At 43.2% G+C, this 24,816-nt stretch overlaps 1 pseudogene, besides 3 other annotated features; it reads left to right on the forward strand.

Annotated features, from left to right (window-relative positions):
* Positions 2,237-5,184, forward strand: HSP90AA4P (heat shock protein 90 alpha family class A member 4, pseudogene; annotated as a pseudogene).
* Positions 8,875-9,433: an enhancer, noted in NCBI's record as "OCT4-NANOG hESC enhancer chr4:190400698-190401256 (GRCh37/hg19 assembly coordinates)". NCBI's record gives its function as "activates a minimal SCP1, AML or CMV promoter by ChIP-STARR-seq in naive H9 embryonic stem cells {active_cell/tissue: H9 hESC(naive)}" and the evidence as "EXISTENCE:reporter gene assay evidence [ECO:0000049][PMID:30033119]".
* Positions 13,394-14,149: an enhancer, noted in NCBI's record as "H3K27ac hESC enhancer chr4:190405217-190405972 (GRCh37/hg19 assembly coordinates)". NCBI's record gives its function as "activates a minimal SCP1, AML or CMV promoter by ChIP-STARR-seq in primed H9 embryonic stem cells {active_cell/tissue: H9 hESC(primed)}" and the evidence as "EXISTENCE:reporter gene assay evidence [ECO:0000049][PMID:30033119]".
* Positions 14,150-14,905: an enhancer, noted in NCBI's record as "NANOG-H3K27ac hESC enhancer chr4:190405973-190406728 (GRCh37/hg19 assembly coordinates)". NCBI's record gives its function as "activates a minimal SCP1, AML or CMV promoter by ChIP-STARR-seq in naive H9 embryonic stem cells {active_cell/tissue: H9 hESC(naive)}" and the evidence as "EXISTENCE:reporter gene assay evidence [ECO:0000049][PMID:30033119]".

Here is a 24,816-nt window from a genome sequence, read left to right on the forward strand (position 1 = left end):
CCTCCCCCCACCCCACAACAGTCCCCAGAGTGTGATGTTCCCCCTCCTGTGTCTATGTATTCCCATTGTTCAATTCCCATCTATGAGTGAGAATATGTGGTGTTTGGTTTTTTGTTCTTGCGATAGTTTACCAAGAATGATGATTTCCAATTTCATCCATGTCCCTACAAAGGACATGAACTCATCATTTTTTATGGCTGCATAGTATTCCATGGTGTATATGTGCCACATTTTCTTAATCCAGTCTATCATTGTTGGACATTTGGGTTGGTTCCAAGTCTTTGCTATTGTGAATAGTGCCGCAATAAACATACATGTGCATGTGTCTTTATAGCAGCATGATTTATAGTCCTTTGGGTATATACCCAGTAATGGGATGGCTGGGTCAAATGGTATTTCTAGTTCTGGATCCCTGAGGAATTGCCACACTGACTTCCACAATGGTTGAACTAGTTTACAGTCCCACCAACAGTGTAAAAGTGTTCCTCTTTCTCCACATCCTCTCCAGCACCTGTTTTTCCTGACTTTTTAATGATTGCCATTCTAACTGGTGTGAGATGATATCTCATGGTGGTTTTGATTTGCATTTCTCTGATGGCCAGTGATGGTGAGCATTTTTTCATGTGTTTTTTGGCTGCATAAATGTCTTCTTTTGAGAAGTGTCTGTTCATGTCCTTCACCCACTTTTTGATGGGGTTGTTTTTTTCTTGTAAATTTGTTTGAGTTCATTGTAGATTATGGATATTAGCCCTTTGTCAGATGAATAGGTTGCAAAAATTTTCTCCCATTTTGTAGGTTGCCTGTTCACTCTGATGGTAGTTTCTTTTGCTGTGCAGAAGCTCTTTAGTTTAATTAGATCCCATTTGTCAATTTTGGCTTTTGTTGGCATTGCTTTTCGTGTTTTAGAGATGAAGTCCTTGCCCATGCCTATGTCCTGAATGGTAATGCCTAGGTTTTCTTATAATGTTATTTGTTTTTCTGCTATTGGGTTGTAAGAGTTATTTTTTAAATTTAGGATATTAACACATTATCAAATATGCAGTTTGCAAATATCTTCTACACTTCTGTCATTTGCCTCTTGGTTTGTTGATTGCTTCCTTTGCTGTGCAGAAAATTTTTAGTTTGATGTAACCCCATTTGCTTATTTTTGATTTGCAGCCTGGGCTTTAAGTGTGATGTCCAAAAAATTATTGCCACTTTCCCCTATGTTTTCTTCTAGGAGTTTTATAATTTCTGGTCTTCCATTTAGGTCTTTTTTTCATTTTGAGTTGATTTTTGTGAATGGAGTAAGATAAGCATCCAGTTTTATTCATTTGCATGTGGAAATACAGTTTTTCCAACACCATATTTTTTTTTTGAGACAGAGTTTCGCTGTGTTACCCAGGCTGGCTTGCGGTGGCACAATCTTAGCTCACCATAACTTCTGACTCCTGGGTTCAAGCAGTTCTCCTGCCTCAGCCCCCCAAGTAGCTGGGACTACCGGTGCCCACCACCATGCCCGGCTAATTTTTGTGTTTTTTTAGTAGAGACGGGGTTTCATTATGTTGGCCAGGCTGGTCTGGAACTCCTGACCTCGTGATCCGCCCACCTTGGCCTCCCAAAGTGCTGGGATTACAGGCTTCAGCCACCCACCGTGCCCGGCCTTCCAGCACCATATTTTGAAATGACTCTTCTTCTCTAATTGTGTCCTCTTGGCGCTCTTGTCAAAAATTAGTTGAATATGTATGTTTGGATTTATTTCTGGGCTCTGTATTCTGTCTCATTGGCCTATGTGTCTGTGTTTATGCTAATAGCATATTGCTTTGGTTAATATTACTTTGTAATATGATTTTAAATAGGGTTGTGTGATAACTGCCTTTCTTTCTCGGTATTGCTTTGGCTGTTCAGGGATTTTTGTGGTTCTGTACAAATTTTAAGGGTTTTTTTGCTATTTCTGTGAAGAATACCATTGAGATTTTGATAAGGATTGCATTAATCCACATTGCTTTGGGCAGTATAAACATTTTAACAATATCAATTATTCTGAGAAACAAACATTAGATAGCTTTCCATTTATTTGTGTCTTCCTCAATCTATGTTATTAATATTTTGTATTTTTTAGCCTACAGATCTTTACCTCCTTGGTTAAATTTATTCCAACTATTTTGTTTTTAATGTTATCGTAAATGGGATTGTTTTCTTGATTTCTTTTTCAGCTAAGTTGTTATTTGTGTATAGAAGTGCTGTGGATATTTAGAGTTGCTTCAGCGTCCTGGTGCCGCTGCACTGCGGAGACCGTGTGGTCCCTTAGCCAAGATGCCCGAGGAGACTCAGACCCAAGACCAACCAACGGAGGAGTAGGAGGTTGAGACGTTCACCTTTCAGGCAGAAATTGCCCAGTTGATGTCATTGTTCATCAATACTTTCTACTTGAACAAAGAGATCTTTCTGAGAGAGCTCATTTCAAATTTATCAGATGCATTGGACAAAATCCTGTAGGAAAGCTTGACGGATCCCAGTAAATTAGACTCTGGGAAAGAGCCGCATATTAGCCTTATACCAAACAAACAAGATCGAACACTCACTATTGTGGATACTGGAATTGGAATGACCAAGGCTGACTTGATCAACAACCTTGGAACTATCACCAAGTCTGAGACCAAAGTGTTCATGGAAGTTTTGCAGGCTGGTGCAGATATCTCTATGATTGGCCAGTTCAGTGTTGGTTTTTATTCTGCTTATTCAGTTGCTGAGAAAGTAACAGTGATCACCAAACATAACAATGATGAACAGTATGCCTGGGAGTCCTCATTAAGGGGATCATTCACAGTGAGGACAGACACAGGTGAACCTATAGGTCATGGAACAAAGGTTATCCTACCGCTAAAAGAAGACCAAACTGAGTACTTGGAGGAACGAAAAATAAATGAGATTGTGAAGAAACATTCTGTTTATTGGATATCCCGTCACTCTTTTTGTGGAGAAGAAACATGATAAAGAAGTCAGCAATGATGAGGCCGAAGAAAAGGAAGATAAAGAAGAAGAAAAGGAAAAAGAAGAGAAAGAGTCCGAAGACAAACCTGAAATTGAAGATGTTGGTTCTGACGAAGAAGAAGAATAAAAGAAGGATGGTGACAAGAAGAAGAAGAAGAAGAAGAAGAAGAAGATTAAGGAAAAGTACATCGATCAAGGAGAACTCAACAAACAAAGCCTATCTGTACCAGATACCCTGATGACTTTACTAATTAGGAATACAGAGAATTCTACAAAAGCTTGACCATTAACTGGGAAGATTACTTGGCAGTGAAGCATTTTTCAGTTGAAGGACAGTTGGAATTCAGAGCCTTTCTATTTGTCCCACGACTTGCTCCTTTTGAGCTGTTGGAAACCAGAAAGAAAAAGAACAAAATCAAATTGTCTGCACGCAGAGATCTCATCATGGATAACTGTGAGGAGCTAATCCCTGAATATCTGAACTTCATCAGAGGGGTGGTAGACTCGGAGGATCTCCCTCTAAATATTTTCCGTGAGATGTTGCAATGAAGCAAAATTTTGAAAGTTATCAGGAATAATTTGGTCAAAAAATGCTTAGAACTCTTTACTGAACTGGTAGAAGGTAAAGAGAGGTACTAGAAGTTCTATGAGCCGTTCTCTAAAAACATAAAGCTTGGAATACACGGAGACTCTCAAAATCAGAAGAAACTTTCAGAGCTGCTAAGATACTACACATATGCCTCTGGTGATGAGATGGTTTATCTCCAGGACTACTGCACCAGAATGAAGGAAAACCAGAAACATATCTATTATATCACAGGTGAGACCAAGGACCAGGTAGCTAACTCAACCATTGTGCAACGTCTTTGGAAACATGGCTTGGAAGTGATCTATACGATCGAGCCCATTGATGAGTACTGTGTCCAGCAGCTGAAGGAATTTGAGGGGAAGACTTTAGTGTCAGTCACCAAAGAGGACTTGGAACTTCCAGAGGATGAAGAAGAGAAAAAGAAACAGGAAGAGGGAAAACAAAAAACGAAACAAAAAAAAAACCAAAGTTTGAGAACCTCTGCAAAATCGTGAAAGACATTTTGGAGAAGAGTTGAAAAGGTGGTTGTGTCAAACCAATTGGTGACGTCTCCATGTTGTATTGTCTCAAGCACATATGGCTGGACAGCAAACATGGAGAGAATCATGAAAGCTCAAGCCCTAAGAGACAACTCAACAACAGGTTACATGGCAGCAAAGAAACACCTGGAGATAAACCCCGACCATTCCTTTATTGACACCTTAAGGCAAAAGGCAGAGACTGATAAGAATGACAAGTCTGTGAAGGATCTGGTCATCTTGCTTTATGAAACTGCGCTCCTGTCTTCTGACTTCGGGCTGGAAGGTCCCCAGACACATGCTAACAGGATCTACAGGATGAACAAACTTGGTCTGGGTACTGATGAAGATGACCCTACTGCTGATGATACCAGTGCAGCTGTAACTGAAGAAATGCCACCCCTCGAAGGAGATGACGACACATCACGCATGGAAAAGTAGACCAACCTCCAGCTGAGGGATGTCTTACCTGTTCGGTACTCTACAGTTCCTCTGAGAATATATTTTCAAGGATGTTTTTCTTCATTTTCGGTAACATTAAATAGTCTGTATGGCATGACAACAACTACTTTAAGGGGAAGTTAAGATTTCTGTCTATTTCTAAGTGATGCTATGATACCTTAGGCACTAAAGCAGAGTTAGCAATGCTTTCTTAGTTTCACATTGGCTTATTTTGACAGATGTAAGATGTATGTAACATGATGCTAACTTTGTGGTCTAAAGTGTTTAGCTATCAAGCCCGATTCCTTAGTAGACCAAGTCTTGTTATCAAAGTGTTCCTGAGCTATACCTTGATGTTTAGAAGAAAAGTATTTGTTACATCTTGTAGGATCTACTTTTTGAACTTTTCATCCCCTGTAGTTGCCAATTCCACATGTACTAGTCCCCTAGAAACAGGTTAAACTGAAGCAACTGGATGGAAGGAAATCTCCATAGGGCTTGTTTTCCAAAGAAAAGTATTGTTTGGAGGCGCAAAGTTATAAGTCTACCTAAGCATAACATAAAGCTGTTCAAAAATAACTCAGAGCCAGTCTTGTGGATGGAAATGTAGTGCCCGAGTCACATTCTGCTTAAAGTTGTTTCAAATACAGATGAATTAGAAGAAAAAAAAAAAAGAAATACTACTGATATTTATGTGTTAATTTTGTATTCTACAACTTTACTGAATTCATGTATTTCTTCTAATAGTTTTTTCTGGAATCTTTGGGGTTTTCTACTCATAGAATCATGCCATCTGCAGTCAGAGATGAATTAACATCTTCCTTTTTAGTTTAGATGTCTTTTATTTCTTTTTCCCTTTTAAATTGCCTTTGCTAGTGCTTCCAGTACTATGTAGAAGGCATGTGGTGAGAGTGGGCAGCCCTCTCTTATACCAGATCTTCGTGCAAAAGAGTTCAGTTCTTCCCTGTTGATTATGATACTAGCTGTAGGTTTCCCATAAATGGCCTTTATTATGTTGAGAAACTTTCCTTCTGTATGTAAACAATTAGGGGTTTTTATTGAGAAAGAGTGCAAAATGTTATCAACCTTGTTTATACTTTAAAATTTTTCAACATGAGTAATTATTTAAGTAAGGGAAAGAAGGCCTGTCAGGGTGACCAGCGGTCCATGTTTGCCTGGTCCTGTCCTGGTGTTTTCACTGAATTTCTTGTATCCTGGGGAAATTCCTAAATCCCAGGCAACACGAGTGGCTAAACCATCACTCCACCAATTGTATTGTCCTTACATCTTTTAGGTTACATTGCCTTTAGCTGTCTCTAATGTTAAAGGTCTAGTATTTCATCTGCTCATCCACATAACAAACATCAGCTGAGTCAACCCACCAATGTGTCCAGCTCCATGAGTACAGATAAGAAGAAGGCTCATCCGAGAGCTCACAGTCCTCATGGGCAGAGCTGACCTTGGCACATAATTACATCATTATCACACCATGTCAGACTGACGGAAGCCAATGTGGTCAGCATCTGTGGGGTCCTTTATAAACATCTGCTGTTTTCAGCAACTAGAAGCTGGTTGGAACTTTTAAAATTAGGTAAAAAGTTATAATAAAGGCAAGTTGCGGACTAAGGCAAGTTGCAGACTAAGTCTACCACAAACTCAAACACTTAGAAGCATAAATGCCTCAACACAGTCACACAACCTGTGTATTTTTTAACTTGATGTCCTGTGCTCTACTATAAACACCCTGACAAGCATTTCACACCAAAGATTATTGTAGGAAAAGCACAATTACATTCTAATGGTGGGATCCACTAACCTCTGAGTTAGATTAGACAGAGCAATCCTGCCTAAGAGTAGGGCAAAGAGACCCAATGGCTACAAAGAACTTGGATGCAACATTACAGGTGTGATCCTGCTAGGTTTCCAGATTCCACTCACACAGGAATGCCAGAGTCCATGGAATTTTTCCAGACAATTATATATAGAGAGCATTATTTATTTTATCAAGAAAAAAGGAGAACTATTTCTAGCATTCTTTATGCTGATTAACAAACCAGCTGCTGTGTATTTAGATGAGAACCGACCTACTTGCCATAGATAGATCTAGAGTGTGAAGTCTTTGTTAACATACTTCAATTGCAAACAAGTAATTTCTGGAATATGAATTAAACTTAATTTACACATGTGGAAGGCTAAGGCATTTTTAAATAAATTATCTTGCAACAAATATAAGAAATAATTAGTGGTTGTTCTTTGAAAATGTAGAAAAAATCTCTCTGACAAAACAAAATACTTAGGCACTTCAAGGACTTGACAAGGTGACCTGTGAACCAGGTCTGAGGGATGAATATGAATTTGCAAAATTAAGGGAGGAAAAGTGATATTTGGTGGAAGACAGAATCCTGCACAAAGGTGTCTCCATAAAAGTTCTTACTACTTCAGGAAACTTCAAGAAGTGACTGAAAGCTCAGGGTCTTAGGAACAAGGGTTGAGAAATGAGCCTGAAACGGATATTTGAGAAGTCAAGATGGTGGCAGGATCCGGAAGCCACACTAAGTTGTTTGGACTTTCTGCTTAAGTATTGAGATGATAGGGGCACTTTTTTTTAGATAGTACAGTCACTTATTGCTTAGGTAGCAATGAGAAGAACGGATTGAAGAGAGAAAGGTATCAGGGAAACAAACCAGAAGCAAGACATGATGTAGACTTGGAGTCAGGCTTCAGAATGTATTCATTCATTCAACAACCAATATCATATGAACTGAGCACCTACCAGGCACTCTACAGTAAAGCAGACCCTGGAGATACAGCGCTGAGAATGCAGCCACGCTCTCAAACTAGGCGTGGTGCTTGCGCCTGTGGCAGGAGGATTGCCTGAGCCCAGGGGCTCCAGGCTGCACTGAGCTATGTTTTTGCCACTGCACTCCAGTCTGGGTAGCAGGGTGAGACCCCGTCTATGCATAAATAAATAATAATAAAAAATCTCAGTCCTCATGGACAGGGTGAGCACATCCCAGTTTGGCAGAGTCAGTTGTTTAATGTGACTTTCAAAGGTTCCAAGAATATCTCATAAATAATGTGCTCATCCTGCTCTTGCCTCACCCATTTCAGAAAAGGAGACAGACACTCAACAAACAAATGAAGCCTGTTAGTAAAGGGTGCATAATGGGGACACGGGATCTGAAAAGAAAATGAGGTAGGAATGGAGACTGGAGTGTGTGCATGTGTGTGAGTGTGTTTGTCTCTGTGTGAATTTTAACACAGTGAGCAGTGGAGGGAGAAAGCCATGGGGCCACCTCAGGGAAGAATTCCTGACCTAGGAGATGCAAGCACAGAGCCTCTGAGAGGAAGCCTGTGAGGAGCAGTGAGGGGGCCTGGGCAGCTGGAGCAGAGTGAGCGAACGGGATGGGACCAGAGATCCAGCAAGGGACCAGACCATGTCAGCCCTCAGGGGCCACTGAAGAAACTCAGGCTGCCTGGAAAAAAGAGGGGCTACCACTGGGTAATTTTGAGTAAGAGCAACATTGTCTTAACTAACTTTACAAAATATCTCAGTTTTATGTTGACAAAAGTCATAACTACTTTAAAATAAGCAATGACTTTCTCCAAGCTATTTTATTTAGATTCAAGCTGCTGTGAGCCAGTGGGTAGTAGTTAAGATTAATATGCAAATAACACATTTTAAACTGCAGGAGTGAATTACATTTCTAGGGCTGCTAAAACAATTGCAACTTTTTAGACTCCCATGAATGTGACATTTTCACTTGCATTATATTATTTTAATTTTACAATCTGCTTGCCAAAGAGAGGTCATTCCTTCCATTTTACAATGAGGAAACTGAGTCCTAGAAAGGTTAAGAACAGTTGGCCCATATGCAGAAAACTGAAACTAGACCCCTTCCTTACACTTTATACAAAAATTAACTCAAGATGGACTAAAGACTTAAACATAAAACTCCAATCCATAAAAACCCTAGAAGAAAACCTAGGGAATACCATTCAGGACATAAGCATGGGCAAAGACTTCATAACTAAAACACCAAAAACAATGGCAGCAAAAGCCAAATTGACAAATGGGATCTAATTAAACTAAAGAGCTTCTGCACAACAACAATAAAAAACTATCATCAGAGTGAACAGGCAACCTACAGAATGGGAGAAAATTTTTGCAATCTACCCATCTGACAAAGGTCTAATATCCAAAATCTACAAGGAACTTAAACAAATCTACAAGAAAAAAACAAACAACCCCATCAAAAAGTGGGCAAAGTATATGAACAGACACTTTTCAAAAGAAGACATTTATGTGGCCAACAAACGTATGAAAAAAACTCAACAACACTGATTTTCATGCACATCCGTGTGAAGAGACGACCAAACAGGCTTCGTGTGAGCAATAAAGCTTTTAATCACCTGGGTGCAGTGGGGCTGAGTCAGAAAAGAGTCAGCGAAGGGAGATAAGGGTGGGGCCGTTTTATAGGATTTGGGTAGGTAAAGGAAAATTACAGTCAAAGGGGGTTTGTTCTCTGGTGGGCAGGAGTTGGGGTAGCAAGGTGCTCAGTGGGGGTGTTTTTGAGCCAGGGTGAGCTAGGAAAAGGACTTTCACAAGGTAATGTCATCAGTTAAGGCAAGGACCAGCCATTTACACTTCTTTTGTGGTGGAATGTCATCAGTTAAGGTGGGGCAGGGCATATTCACTTCTTTTGTGATTCTTCAGTTACTTCAGGCCATCTGGGTGTATACGTGCAGGTCACAGGGGATGCGATGGCTTGGCTTGTCTTGGGCTCAGAGGCCTGACATTCCTGCTTTCTTATATTAATAAGAAAAATAAAATAGTGTTGAAGTGTTGGGGCTGCGAAAATCTTTGGGGGGTGGTATGAAGAGAGAATGGGCAATGTTTCTCAGGGCTGCTTCGAGCGGGATTAGGGGCGGTGTGGGAACCTAGAGTGGGAGAGATTAAGCTGAAGGGAGGTCTTGTGGTAAGGGGTGATATTGTGGGGTAGTTAGAAGAAACATTTGTCGTATAGAATGATTGGCGATGGCCTGGATATGGTTTTGTATGAATTGAAAAACTAAATGGAATAAGAGAAGGAGAAAAACAGGTATAAAAGGTAGATATCAGCTGTGATGGCTTGGAGAAACAGTGTAAACTGGCAGTGTAAACAAGAGCAGGGCATGTATGAGTAGTTGAGAACGGTGAATAGGAGTATGACTAGACAAAAGATAGTAGGGATGACAAGTTTTTTTGGGGCACAGTCTAAGTTGGTCTGGTGTCAAATGAGACTGGGGCCTAACAAAAAGGAGTATCTATACAGGAGCTCAAATGGGCTGTACCTTGTAGCATTCTGAGGACAGGCCTGAATTCTGAGAAGCAAAAGTGGTAAATGTATTGTCCAGTCCTTTTTAAGTTAGTGGCTGAGCTTGGTGAGGTGTGTTTTTAAAAGACCTTTAGTCCATTACTAAGAGCCTGAAAAACTGCTTGGCTGATTTGACTAATAAAGGCTCACTGTTATCAGACCGTATTGAGGTGGGAAGGCTAAACTGAAGAATTATGGCTGACAGAAGGGAAGAAATGACTGCGGTGGACTTCTCAGACCCTGTAGGAAAGGCCTTTACTTATTCAGTAAAAGTGTCTATTTAGACTAAGAGGTATTTTAGTTTCCTGACTCAGGCATGTTGAGTAAAGCTAATTTGCCAGTTCTGGGTGGGGGCAAATCCTCGAGCTTGATGTGTAGGGAAGGGATGGGGCCTGAATAATCCCTGAGGAGTAGTAGAATAGCAGATGGAACACTGAGAAGTTATTTCCTTGAGGATAGATTTCCACAATGGAAAGGAAATGAGAGGTTCTGAGAGGCGGGCTAGTGGCTTGTACTATAGCATAACCTGCCTTTGCTGGTGTGTGGCGATTAGGCCTGGTGGAACCGCCATCAATAAATCAAGCGTGATCAGGGTGAGGAACAGGAAAGAAGGAAATTTGGGGAAATGGGGTGAATGTCAGGTGGGTCAGAGAGATACAGTTATGGGGGTCAGGTGTGGTATCAGGAATAATGTGGGAGGCCAGATTGAAGTCTGGGCCAGGGAAAATGGTAATTGTGGGAGACTCAACAAAGAGTGAGTACAGCTGAAGGAGCCGGGGAGCAGAAAGTATATGCATCAGGTATGAGGAAGCAAATAGATTTTGGAAGTTGTGAACTTTAGAGAGTGAGTTGAGCATAGTTTGTGATTTTGAGGGCCTCTAAAAGTTTAGAGGCCCTCAAAATCACAAACTATGCTCAACTCACTCTCTAAAGTTCACAACAACTCCTTTCCTTCCTAGGCATATAGTTAGTGCGATCAGAATTCTTACACAGCGGCAGCCGCTGCATGCAGACATCAGGGCTAGGCTAAAACAGTAAGGTCAAGTTGTTTGCACAGAAAGGCTACAGGGTGCAGTCCTGGCTGTTGCATAAGAATTCTGATCGCACTAACTATATGCCTAGGAAGGAAAGGAGTTATTGTTTTGTAAGGGATTGAGGTTTGGGAGATTAATCGGACACGATCAGCAGGGAAAGCACGTATGTTTTTATGAGAATTATGCCGAGATAGGTAACAGATGAGGATGAAATTTGGGCTTGACTGAAGTAATGGGGGCTGTCTATGAAGCCTTGCGGCAGTACAGCCTTGGTAATTTGCTGAGCCTAATGGGTGTCAGGGTCAGTCTAAGTGAAGGCGAAGAGAGGCTGGGACGAGGGGTGCAGGGGAATAGTGAAAAAAGCATCTTTAAGATCAAGCACGGAACAGTGAGTTGTGGAGGAGGGTATTGAGGACAAGAGTGTAGGGGTTTGGCACCACAGGGTGGATAGGCGAAACAATTTGGTTGATAAGGCATAGATCCTGAACTAACTTGTAAGGCTTGTCTGGCTTTAGGACAGGTAAAATGGGGGAATTGTAAGGATAGTTTATAGGCTTTAAAAGGTCATGCTGTAGCAGGCGAGTGATAACAGGCTTTAATCTTTTTAAAGCATGCTGCGGGATGGGAATATTGGCGTTGAGTGGGGTAAGGGTGATTAGGTTTTAATGAGATGGTAAGGGGTGCATGATCGGTCACCAAGGAGGGAGTAGAGGTATACTTGTGGGTTAAGGTGGGGGGATACAAGAGGAGGACGCAAAGGAGGCTTTGGATTGGGAGGAGGGGCGGCAATGAGATGTAGCTGTAGTCCAGGAATAGTCAGGGAAGCAGATAATTTAGTTGAAGTGTCTTGGCCTAATAAGAGAACTGGGCAGGTGGGGATAACTAAAAAGGAGTGCTTAAAAGAGCATTGTCTAAGCTGGCGCCAGAGTTGGGGAGTTTTAAGAGGTTTAGAAGCCTGGCCGTCAATACCCACAACAGTTATGGAGGCAAGGGAAACAGGCCCTTGAAAAGAAGGTAATGTGGAGTGGGTAGCCTCCATATTGATTAAGAAGGGGACGGGCTTACCTTCCACTGTGAGAGTTACCTGAAGCTCGGCGTCCGTGATGGTCGAGGGGGCTTCCGAGGTGATCGGGCAGTGTCAGTCTTCAGCCGCTAAGCCAAGAAGATCTGGGAAGGAGTCAGTCAGAGAGCCTTGGGCCAGAGTTCCAGGGGCTCTGGGAGTGGCTGCCAGGTGAGTTGAACAGTCCGATTTTCAGTGGGGTCCCGCACAGATGGGACGCGGTTTAGGAGGAATCCTGGGCTGCGGACATTCCTTGGCCCAGTGGCCAGATTTCCGGCACGTGTAGCAAGCTCCTGGGGAAGGAGGTTCTGGAGGAACGCCTGGCTGCTGCGGTTCAGGCGTTTGGAAGTTCTTGTGTGCTGGAGATGTGGCTGGGGTTTGTCTCACAGTGGAGGCAAGGAATTGCAACTTTTTTATATTATTGTACGCCTTGAAGGCAATGTTAATTAAATCCTGTTGTGGGGTTTGAGGGCCGGAATTTAATTTTTGGAGTTTTATTTAATGTCGGGAGCAGATTGGGTAATAAAATGTATTTTGAGAATAAGACGGCCTTTTGACCTTTTAGGGTCTAGGGCTGTAAAGTGTCTCAGGGTTGCTGCCGAACGAGCCATGAATGGGGCTGGATTTTTATATTTGATGAAAAAGAGCCTAAATGCTTCTGATTTAGGATAAAGAAAAAGGAGCTTTAACCTTGACTACGCCTTTGGCTCCAGCCACCTTTTTAAGGGTAAATTGCTGGGCAGGTGCGGGAGGGCAAGTGGCAGAATGAAACTGAAAGCTGGACCAGGTGTGAGGAGGGGAGGTGATAAAAGGATTACAGGGTGGAGGAGCAGAGGCTGAGGAAGAATTGGGACCTGGCTCGGCCTGGCGAGGAGCAGCCTGGGGAGGAAGGGAGAGGTCAGATGGGTCTGTAGAAAAGGAAGATTAGAAAGACTCAGGGACGCTTGGGGTTGGTACTGAGGGGACAGGCGGGAGGGAAAGAAGGAAGATTTGGGACAAGTTGCACTGGGCACAGAGACTAGGAAGGGACTGATGTGTAAAAGAATGCCTGGACATCAGGCACCTCAGACCGTTTGCCTATTTTACGACAAGAAATATTTAGATCTTGCAGGATGGAAAAATTCAAAGTGCCATTTTCTGGCTATTTGGAACTACTGTCAAATTTGTATTGGGGTCAAGCGGCATTGCAGAAGAAAATAAGGCATTTAGGTTTCAGGTCAGGTGTGAGTTGAAGAGGTTTTAAGTTTTTGAGCACACAGGCCAAGGGAGTAGAAGGAGGAATGGAGGGTGGAAGGTTGCCCATAGTGAAGGAAGCAAGCCTAGAGAAAAGAGAGAGTAGAGAAATGGAGGGAAGGGGTTCGGAGGTTCTTACCTTCCAGAAAAGTGGGAAAAGGGGTTGGGGCGCAGAGATAAGAGGTCGGGGCAGGGAAATAAGGGATGGGGCACAGAAATAAGGGGTCAGGGCATGGAAATAAGGGATTGGGGCACAGAGATAAGAGGTCGGGGTGTGGAAATAAGGGATTGAGGTGCAGAGATATAAGAGGTTGTTGCACGGAAATAAGGGATTGGGGCACAGAGATAAGAGGTTGTTGCACGGAAATAAGAGATTGGGGCACAGAGATAAGAGGTTGGGGCACAGAAATAAGGGATTGGGGATTCTTGCCCAGTAGAAAAGCAGGACTTGCCACTAAGGGTGAAGGAGAAGGGGTTGAGGGGTACTTGCCCCTCTCCCAGAAAAGCAGAGAAGGGGTAGAGACAAGGAGAGAAGGGGTTGGGGTACTTGCCCTGTCCCCAGAAAAGCAGAGAAGGGGTAGAGACAAGGACAGAAGGGGTTGGGGTACTTGACCCTTCTCCAGAAAAGCGGGACTTGCCGCTAAGGGTGAAGGACCAAGGCAGGCGTCCCTGCGTGGTCTGACATCCTTGAAACATGGGTGTATAATCAGAGAGGTGTCCCTGCAATGATTAAACACCAAGGGAAGGCTGCCTTCCCAGTCCGTGACCGGCACCGGAGTTTTGGGTCCATGGATAAAATGTGTCTCCTTTGTCTCTCCCAGAAAATGAAAGGAATTGAAATTAAGAGAAGGGAGAGATTGAAGAGTGGAAAGGAGAAAGTGGTTGAGGGACAGTGAGAGAGGTTGGAGAAGAGAGTAAGAAGAGGCCGCTTACCTGATTTAAAATCGGTGAGATGTTCCTTAGGCTGGCTGGTCTGAGGACCTGAGGTCATAGGTGGATCTTTCTCACGGAGCAAAGAACAGGAGGACAGGGGATTGAGCTCCCAAGGGAGGTCCCCCGATCCGAGTCATGGCACCAAATTTCATGCGTGTCCATGTGAAGAGACCACCAAACAGGCTTTGTGTGAGCAATAAAGCTTTTAATCACCTGTGTGCAGGTGGGTTGAGTCAGAAAAGAGAGTCAGCGAAGGGAGATAAGGGTGGAGCCATTTTATAGGATTTGGGTAGGTAAAGGAAAATTACAGTCAAAGGGGATTTGTTCTCTGGCAGGCAGGAGTGGGGGTCGCAAGGTGCTCAGTGGGGGTGATTTTGGGCCAGGATGAGCCGGGAGAAGGACTTTCACAAGGTAATGTCATCAGTTAAGGCAAGGACCGGCCATTTACACTTCTTTTGTGGTGGAATGTAATCAGTTAAGGTGGGGCAGGGCATATTCACTTCTTTTGTGATTCTTCAGTTACTTCAGGCCATCTGGGTGTATACGTGCAGGTCACAGGGGATGCGATGGCTTGGCTTGGGCTCAGAGGCCTGACACTGATCATTAGAGAAATGTAAATCAAAACCACAATGAGAGCCATTTCATGCCAGTCAGAATGGTGATTATTAAAAAGTCAGGAAACAATAGATGCTGGTGAGACTGTGGAGAAATAGGAATGCTTTTACTCTGCAGATGAGAATGTAAATTACTTCAACCATTGTAGAAGACAGTGTGACGTATCCTCAAGAATCTAGAACCAGAAATACCATTTGACCCAGCAATCCCATTACTGGGTATATACCCAAAGGATTATAAATCATTCTATGGTAAAGACACATGCACATGTATGTTTATTGCAGCACTGTTCACAATAGCAAAGACATGGAACCAACGGAAATGCCCATCAGTGATAGACTGGATAAAGAAAATGTGGCACATATACACCATGGAATACTATGCAGCCATAAAAAAGGATGAGTTCATGTCCTTTGCAGGGACATGGATGAAGATGGAAGACTTCATCCTCAGCAAACTGACACAGGAAGAGAAAACCAAACACTGCATGTTCTCACTCACAAGTGGAAGTTGAACAATGAGAACACATGGACATAAAGAGGGGAACAACACACATCAGGGTCAGTCAGGGGGTGGGAGGTGAAGGGAGGGAGAGCATTAGGACAAACAGCTAAGGTATGTGGGGCTTAAAACCTAGACGGCGGGTTTATAGGTGCAGCAAACCACCTGGCACAGGTATACTTACATAACAAACCTGCATGTTCTGCTCCTATATCCTGGAACTTAAAGTCAAATTTAAAAAAAAAATGGAGTTCAGGTTCAGACAAGTAAACAGAGAAAAAGGCAGATTTCTGAGAGCTAAGGGCATATGGATTGAAAATGAAGGCTACAGGACAGAATGCTTATTTGAAAGGACTGGCAGTGCAAGAAGAAAGAAAGAGGACTTTATATTATGTGTTAAACTTAATGAACCTGGGGGAACTTTTTCAGTCCATTATTTTAATCTTAATAATAAAATTCTTTTTAAAAGCCCCACTATGCTATAATCTGAATTAAGCTATACTGTCAGTCAAATCCTGTCCGGTCCCCTGTGTGCATGGCACTATACAGCACACTGGTCTGAATACACCAAAGAGAAACCACATGAGTATTGGCCCCGTCCACCCCATTCCTATCTGTGTTATTACAGGATTGAATTGTAATTTGAAATTAAAAATTAATGTTGTTTTGGTACTTTAATACATTTATTACCTGAAATAAATTACATTTCTCTTTAAAAAAAAAACAGCCCTTGAATAAGATGGGTTTAAACTATGTGGGTCGACTTTTTTCAATGAAACATGGATCAGAAGATGCAGTATTCAGGGCATGTGAAACCCACATATAATGAGGGCAAACTGTTAATTTATGCGAGCTCTGTAGGGCTGACCCAGTGCTGGAACAAATTCCCTGGGTTTACCGAGGGACAGCTGTAAGTTGAAGACACACAGCTAATAAAAGGCAGAGTGTAGACTTAAAACCTGGTTTTCTAGCTAATACAGTCCATGCTTTTATACTACCTAAAGCTGGCTATTATGAAACAATAGTAATGCTAATTATTACAATAATAAGCCCACATAATAACAAAATGCAGTCATGATAAATTTGTTTTTTCCTTAATTAGGACAATTTTATTTTACAAAGGAAGATCACCAACACTTTCTTATTTCTAGCAGTGTTCAAGTACAAATATTTCCAAATAGTGCAGAATGATTACTACAATACTAGTAATCCTACAGTGTAAGATTTTTCGACTTTACAATGGTGCATAGGTGATGGGCACTCAGTAGACACCGCATTTTGAACTGAGCTCTTTGCCTGGGCTAGCAGCATGTGGTAGGAAGACTCTTGGGATGCAGATCGGGGCGGCCAGCCCCAGCTTCCAGGAAGCTGGGAAATCCAGGGGAATCAACCAACACCACACTCCACAGTGCGCTGTGTTCATGAATGACATGAGATATGCAATACTTTTTTATAAAAGGCTTCATATTAGATGATTCTGCCAATCATGGGCTAATGTAAGTGTTCTGGGTATATTTAAGGTAGGCGAGACCTGTGATGTTCTGTAGGTGAGATATATTAAATGCATTTTCCAATTACGATGGGTTTGTCAGGATGTAACCCTATTATGTCAAGTAGGAGCATCTGTACTAGTACTACTACTAATAAACTACTAGTAAAACGTGAGAGTTGTTTTTGCTGCTTTGGAAGTTGTTCCTTCTTAGCAAGCGGCAGCATTGTGGAAGCAAATGCAGATAATTTGGGGAAGATGCTGCCGTTCAGCCTCCCCTGGCTCAGCCATCTTCCTACCACTGGGGGAGGAGATCCGTGCTGGCAAAAGCTGGATCACACTTGTGGTTAGTTGCCACTAACTAAATCAGGCTTGGAAATAAGATCGTTTGTCACCAGAATACTTTAAATTATCTTCCTCATGCTGGACTCTGTCCTTGCAAAACTGAGTGAATTCTCCATGTTTCGTCTTCTCACCATGGGGCCAGATGGTCTTATCCACTCTAGTTCATGCTTTGGTGTCTAAAACACCAAAAGCAATGGCAACAAAAGCCAAAATTGACAAATGGGATCTAAGTAAACTAAAGAGCTTCTGCACTGGAAAAGAAACTATCATCAGAGTGAACAGGCAACTTACAGAATGGGAGAAAATTTTTGCAATCTACTCATCTGACAAAGGGCTAATATCCAGAATCTACAAAGAACTCAAACAAATTTACAAGAAAAAAACAAACAACCCTATCAAAATGTGGGTGAAGGATATGAACAGACAATTCTCAAAAGAAGACATTTATGCAGCCAAAAGACACATGAAAAAATGCTCACCATCACTGGCCATCAGAGAAATGCAAATCAAAACCACAATGAGATACCATCTCACACCAATTAGAATGGCAATCATTAAAAAGTCAGGAAACAACAGGTGCTGGAGAGGATGTGGAGAAAGAGGAACACTTTTACACTGTTGGTGGGACTGTAAACTAGTTCAGCCACTGTGGAAGTCAGTGTGGCGATTCCTCAGGGATCCAGAACTAGAAATACCATTTGACCCAGCCATCCCATTACTGGGTATATACCCAAAGGATTATAAATCATGCTGCTATAAAGACACACGCACACATATGTTTATTGTGGCACTATTCACAATAGCAAAGACTTGGAACCAACCCAAAAGTCCCACAATGATAGACTGGATTAAGAAAATGTGGCACATATACACCATGGAATACTATGCAGCCATAAAAATTGATGAGTTAATGTCCTTTGTAGGGATGTGGATGAAGCTGGAAACCATCATTCTCAGCAAACTATCGCAAGGACAAAAAAACAAACACCACATGTTCTCACTCATAGGTGGGAACTGAACAATGAGAACACTTGGACACAGGAAGGGGAACATCACACACCAGGGCCTGTTGTAGGGTAGGGGGAGGGGGGAGGGATAGCATTAGGAGATATACCTAATGTAAATGACGAGTTAATGGGTGCAGCACACCAACATGGCACATGTATACATATGTAAAAAACCAGCACATTGTGCACATGTACCCTAAAACAAAACAAAACAAAACAAAAAAAGAAGCCCTCACTTCTTTGAAACTACAGACCCATTTAGTTTGCAGAGTGTGCCGCCTTCTCGCTGCCAGGCAGGGCAGGGGTTTTCAGAATCTGAAGTCATTTCACTGCTTCTGGTTTGCCTCAGTAGTGAAGCATTCTGGGAAGATGTTCACAGGGGACTGGAGGCAGGTGGAGGGAACCAAACATACTCAAAACACGATCCATGCCTTCCTCCAAGGCTGTCGCTTGAGGTACACTTTTAGGAAAGTAGGAACAGAAACCAGAGTCGCTGAAGAATGGATTCCAAATGCTCTAAGATCTTTCACTTAAGCTGCAAATCAACTCACATCTTAGAATGTCATTTGAAAAACAGAAATCCCAGTGTTTGGAAGCCAAAGACATTGGTTGATAAATAATTTAACATGAGAAATACACTCATGTAGCTTTAGAACTGGAAAGACCATGAGAGGCTCTCAACTGATACCCACTGTGGTGTCAATGAGAAATCTAAGAACATTTAAATGAAGCTTGTTTACACTAAGGGGTTTTTGTTGTGGTTGTTTTCAACTGCATGTTTGCATGTCCTAATTTACTTATAAAGTATTATGTCTTTCGTTTCTATAATCAGTAAAATGGAATTTTTAAATTAAAATTCAAGGGAAATTGACTACTGGGATTCCCTTGAAGTCGTGCGTTTATGAAGTGATGTTGAGCTGATCCACTGTGAAAAAGCAGACTTTGGCTTGATGACAATGAGGCATTGTGTACGTGCTACACACAAGCCAGGAGAAGAGTGTGAATCTGTCATCCTGAGCAATGAGGAAAATGAACTCATCAGCAGTGATAGGAAAAAGCAGTCACTGGCCCAAAAAAGCAGGGAGAACTACGTAAAAAACAAATCAAGTGCCAGCCTCAAGTTCAGTATTGCTAAAACTCTCTCGCCACATTTCTGGTTAATGTTTTTGTGTCTCAAAAAATAGTTACCTTTGGTCTAGTTTTTTTTCTCATGGGAACAATGCTTTGCATTCACAAAAGTACCTCTTTCAAAAACTCTACGTTACAAATATATTATTAATCTTTTGTGTTGTACAGGTAGCTCCTGCCTCCTGGCTGGGTGCAAAATGCGTTTCTTTGTTTGTTTGTTTGTTTTTGTTTTTTTGAGATGGAGTCTTGCTGTCTCACCCAGGCTGGAGGGCAGTGGCGTGATCTCGGCTTACTGCAACGTCCACCTTCTGGTTTTAAACGATTCTCCTGCCTCAGCCTCCTGAGTAGCTGTGACTACAAGCACTCGCCACCAGGCCTGGCTAATTTTTATATTTTTGGTAGAGTCAGGATTTCCCCATGTTCGCCAGACTGGTCTCAATCTCCTGACCTTAGGTGACCCACCTTGCTCAGCCTCCCAACATGTTGGGATTACAGGCGTGAGCCACTGTGCCTGGGCAAAATGCACATTTGGACTGAATGAGGAAGCCCAAGCCCTTTCTACTGTGTTTTCAATTTTGTTTTTCTACTCTCCTCCCTCACCCTTCACTCTGCGGATCCCATCTATGCAGCGACTACTCCCATTCAACCTGCGTCTGCCCTGCTGACCCTCGGTGGTGTGGGTGGGCTGTGGCTGACCCTCGGTGGTGTGGGTGGGCTGTGGCTGACCCTCACTGGTGTAGCTGGGCTGTGGCTGACCCTCACTGGTGTAGGTGGGCTGTGGCTGACCCTCGGTGGTGTAGGTGGGCTGTGGCTGACCCTCACCGGTGTGGGTGGGCTGTGGCTGACCCTCACTGGTGTAGCTGGGCTGTGGCTGGCCCTCACTGGTGTAGGTGGGCTGTGGCTGACCCTCGGTGGTGTAGGTGGGCTGTGGCTGACCCTCACTGGTGTGGGTGGGCTGTGGCTGGCCCTCACTGGTGTGGGTGGGCTGTGGCTCGCCCTCACTGGTGTGGGTGGGCTGTGGCTGACCCTCGGTGGTGTGGGTGGGCTGTGGCTGACCCTCGGTGGTGTGGGTGAGCTGTGGCTGACCCTCACTGGTGTGGGTGGGCTGTGGCTGACCCTCGGTGGTGTAGCTGGGCTGTGGCTGACCCTCACTGGTGTGGGTGGGCTGTGGCTGACCCTCGGTGGTATAGGTGGGCTGTGGCTGACCCTCGATGGTGTGGGTGGGCTGTGGCTGACCCTCACTGGTGTAGCTGGGCTGTGGCTGACCCTCACTGGTGTGGGTGGGCTGTGGCTGACCCTCGGTGGTATAGGTGGGCTGTGGCTGACCCTCGATGGTGTGGGTGGGCTGTGGCTGACCCTCACTGGTGTGGGTGGGCTGTGGCTGACCCTCGGTGGTGTGGGTGGGCTGTGGCTGACCCTCACTGGTGTGGGTGGGCTGTGGCTGACCCTCGGTGGTATAGGTGGGCTGTGGCTGACCCTCACTGGTGTAGGTGGGCTGTGGCTAGCCCTCACTGGTGTAGGTGGGCTGTGGCTGACCCTCACTGGTGTGGGTGGGCTGTGGCTGACCCTCGGTGGTGTGGGTGGGCTGTGGCTGACCCTCACTGGTGTGGGTGGGCTGTGGCTGACCCTCGGTGGTGTGGGTGGGCTGTGGCTGACCCTCACTGGTGTGGGTGGGCTGTGGCTGACCCTCGGTGGTGTGGGTGGGCTGTGGCTGACCCTCACTGGTGTGGGTGGGCTGTGGCTGACCCTCGGTGGTGTGGGTGGGCTGTGGCTGACCCTCACTGGTGTAGGTGGGCTGTGGCTGACCCTCGGTGGTATAGGTGGGCTGTGGCTGACCCTCACTGGTGTAGGTGGGCTGTGGCTAGCCCTCACTGGTGTAGGTGGGCTGTGGCTGACCCTCACTGGTGTGGGTGGGCTGTGGCTGACCCTCGGTGGTGTGGGTGGGCTGTGGCTGACCCTCACTGGTGTGGGTGGGCTGTGGCTGACCCTCGGTGGTGTGGGTGGGCTGTGGCTCACCCTCACTGGTGTGGGTGGGCTGTGGCTGACCCTCACTGGTGTGGGTGGGCTGTGGCTGACCCTCGGTGGTGTGGGTGGGCTGTGGCTGACCCTCGGTGTTGTAGGTGGGCTGTGGCTGACCCTCACCCGGGTAGGTGGGCTGTGGTGATTAGAGCTAATGAGAGGATTGAGGAGACCGACATTCACTTCCAATTGCAGTTCCAAATTAACACCTTCTGCAGATACACATTCCAGAAATCTCATGCCCTGTACTTTCTTCTACACCGTTTTCTCTCCCCTTTGTTTCCATTCCAGCCATGCAGGAAGCAGCGTCTGTCCTGGCACATTGCGACATGTTGTCCATACCCGCTTGTTCTTCCCTGCCTGTGTTCTGGTAACACTGTGTTCACTGTTGAACTCTTCTAGGTATGCTTTCCCCCCACTCCAGTTGTTGGTGTTTTCTGTCTACATCCTCTTAGTCCTCTATAAATAGATACTTTTATGATACTCACGTGTTCCTTATTGAGTGTACAGTTGAGTACTGGTGAGTACATGCACATTGTTGTAAAACCAATCTCCAGAATTTTTCATCTTGGAAAACTGAAATGCTACACTCATTAAGCAACTCTCCCATATTCCCCTCCCCTAGGCCCTAAGAGCCACTGTTCTCAATGAAGACTTTCTGTCTCTATGAAGTTGACTACTCTAAGTACCTCATATCAGTGGAATCATAACATATTTATCTTTTTGTGACTGCCTTACTTCACTTAGCCTAATGTCCTCAAAGTTCACTCATGCTATGGTATGTATTAGAATTTTCTTCCTTCTTAAGGCTAAATAATATTCCAGTGCATGACTATACCACATTTTCTTTATCCAATCATTCACTGATGGCCACATGGATTCTTTCCAGCTCGTGGCTATTGTGAATAATTCTGCTCTGAACATGAGTGTACAAATATCTCTTCCACACCCTGCTTTGGTTTCTTTCGGGTATATATCCAAAAGTGAAATTTCTGCATCATATGGTAATTCTAGTTTTAATTTTTTAAGGAATCATCATAATGTTTCCATAGCTGTTGAGCCATTTTAAATTCCCACCAGAAGCATGCAAGGATTTCAGTTTTTCCATTTCTCTCCTGTACCCATTGTTTTCTGTTTTTTGTCTTTGTTTTTGATAGTAGTTATTCTAATGGATAAGATAAAAACGTTGTGTGTTATTTTAGTTGTCTGTTTGTTGTCTGGCACTAACTTCCTTCTGCAGAGAACCATGCCTTTGCAACTGAACTCCCTCATCTTTATGTCACTACTGTCTAATTACATGCCTGAAACATAGTATGTCCTCAAAAACAGCTGTTCAAAGAATAAATGTTGCTACTGGTAAAAATTGCTATAAAATTGCAAAAGAGCTTTAAGCTTCTTCAGCAAAGGAAAGGCAGGTGACCCACTAAATCATTTTCTCCAGTGGGCCGAGGAGTAGAGAAGTCACGGCTGGGAGCTTCAGATGGCAGCAGTGAAAAGAGGAGCAGACAGACCAGTCCCCATGGCCCTTTTGAGGAAAAATGGAGAGTGGGAATATAACCGGGGGCTGACCTAAGACCAAGAGAGAGCCTTGAGGTTTTTCTTAGAGGAAAATCCTATCTGCCATCACCCTCAGTCCCTAATTTCCAGGCCTCTCCATCTCCACTTACCTGGGCACACTTCAGGATCTCCCCGCTCCAGCCATGGGCGCCATTGGGTATGCAGCATGGGGCTGCTTCTGTGTTCCGGGCACCCAAAGTCAGAACACAACTGCACGATATCCTTTAATTCGGCTTTTGTTATCCAAACAATCTTGGAACATAGCCCACTGGCAAATTGGAGAATGCTGTCATCCCTATCACAGTTTTATTTATCACAACACCTATATTCATAAAATAGATAAATCATGTTGCAAGATGAAAGAGTATATCCCTAAGCTCTTGGCTCCACTCTATTCTGGAGCTTGGCCTTGTGAACTTTATCAGCAACTTAAAGAGGTATTTTGCATATTTCATTGTCAAGGTGTAAATATATTCCTTTTCTGCAGCTCGATTTTTCTAAGGAAGCCTAATTCCTTGGTTTATATTTCTTTTCTTATTATCTCCTGGAGTATGGTTAGGTCTGGAACTTCCTATTACTCAATGTTGCGCACTTTTAAACCACAGGTCTTCCCGTTCTTTAAGTAATTACAGGTCTCTTTTACAATAAACTCTTCCCAACTTGTTACCAATCTATATTTTTATCTTTGTTTGGTTCTGCTTTTAAATTGTTTCAGCAATGCTAATTATAAGAAAAAGATAAGGTCTGCTTGCTGTTCTTCCTCACAGCAGCTCGGAAAATGAACTGCAGCATTCTACTTTCCTATTTGTGCAGGTAATGATGTATTCATTGTGGCAAAGTCTTCACAGATAACAAAAACTACATGCTCTTTGCAGATGTGCTAATTATCTCATCTTGATCAAGAAAAAATTCAGAATTGGCTTCCAACTAAGCAGTTTAATTTACACCCATATTTGATGCTGGCATGAAGCCTGGGCTATTTTATGTTACTTTATTTTTTGGCTAGGAAATTAAGATAGTCTGGAAAATTGTTATTAAGAAATGCTTAAAACAGCCTATATATAAGATTCATTGTGGAAGGTCACCCCTGGTTAAGTTATAATGCAGATGTAAATGCAGAGAGATGGTGAGAAAACCAAAAGGCAAACAGGATGAATGGAACGGTTTGCTGTATTCAACTTGAGTAATGGAAACTAACTCAATCTATTTTGGACGTGCAGAGATAACTCTTATTAAATGACTATTTGGACCAAAAAGGAGCAAACTATATATTTTTAAGACATAAAAGCTACATCATTTCTTGGCAACTGAAAGAGGCCAACATTTTCATGGTGTTCCATTCATTTCTTTCTTTATACTTTTACAGCATTAAGACCAGTATTGTTAGCAATTGCAGACTACTTTTACTAGACTCTGTTACTTTTGATCACAGTTCTTTCTAATTTTCTGACAGAATATCTAGTTATGAAATGTGGCATAAAACTATATTCTTGGAGAAAAAAACCTTGGTTTTTAATCTTAACTTACGTATTTCAACCTGAAGACAATCACTGGATATGATTTATATGTATAAAATAAGACTTTCAATATCATAAAATATTGCAACTTATAAACCAAAATGGTTTGTTGTTAGAGAAAAGATGAAGGAGAGAAAGAGCTTGTCTTTCTGTGTTCTGTTAGTGGGAATCTGACTTTTCTTCAATTTCTACCTATTGATGTTTTCAACATAGAGAAAACTGGCTTGGTTTTGCTTCTAACACATAAAAATATTAAGTCAAGTAATCCACATTTTTCTCACCCTCTTTCTCTCCTAGTCATCTGTGCAAACACATAAACTTCCATAAGTTGGTGAGGTGTATAATGTGAAGACCAAAGCATCGATGAGTCCGTCATGCCAGGTTGCTCTGGATATTGGTACTTCTGGGTTAAAAAAATGATAAAAGTAGGATATGGAGCTTCAAGTAAAATTCAAGTCTTTCGGGTTCCAATCAAAACTTCTTTTCACTAAAACACTCTT

This window comes from Homo sapiens, chromosome 4, assembly GCF_000001405.40.
Source record: "Homo sapiens chromosome 4, GRCh38.p14 Primary Assembly".
NCBI classification, from domain to species: Eukaryota; Metazoa; Chordata; class Mammalia; order Primates; family Hominidae; genus Homo; species Homo sapiens.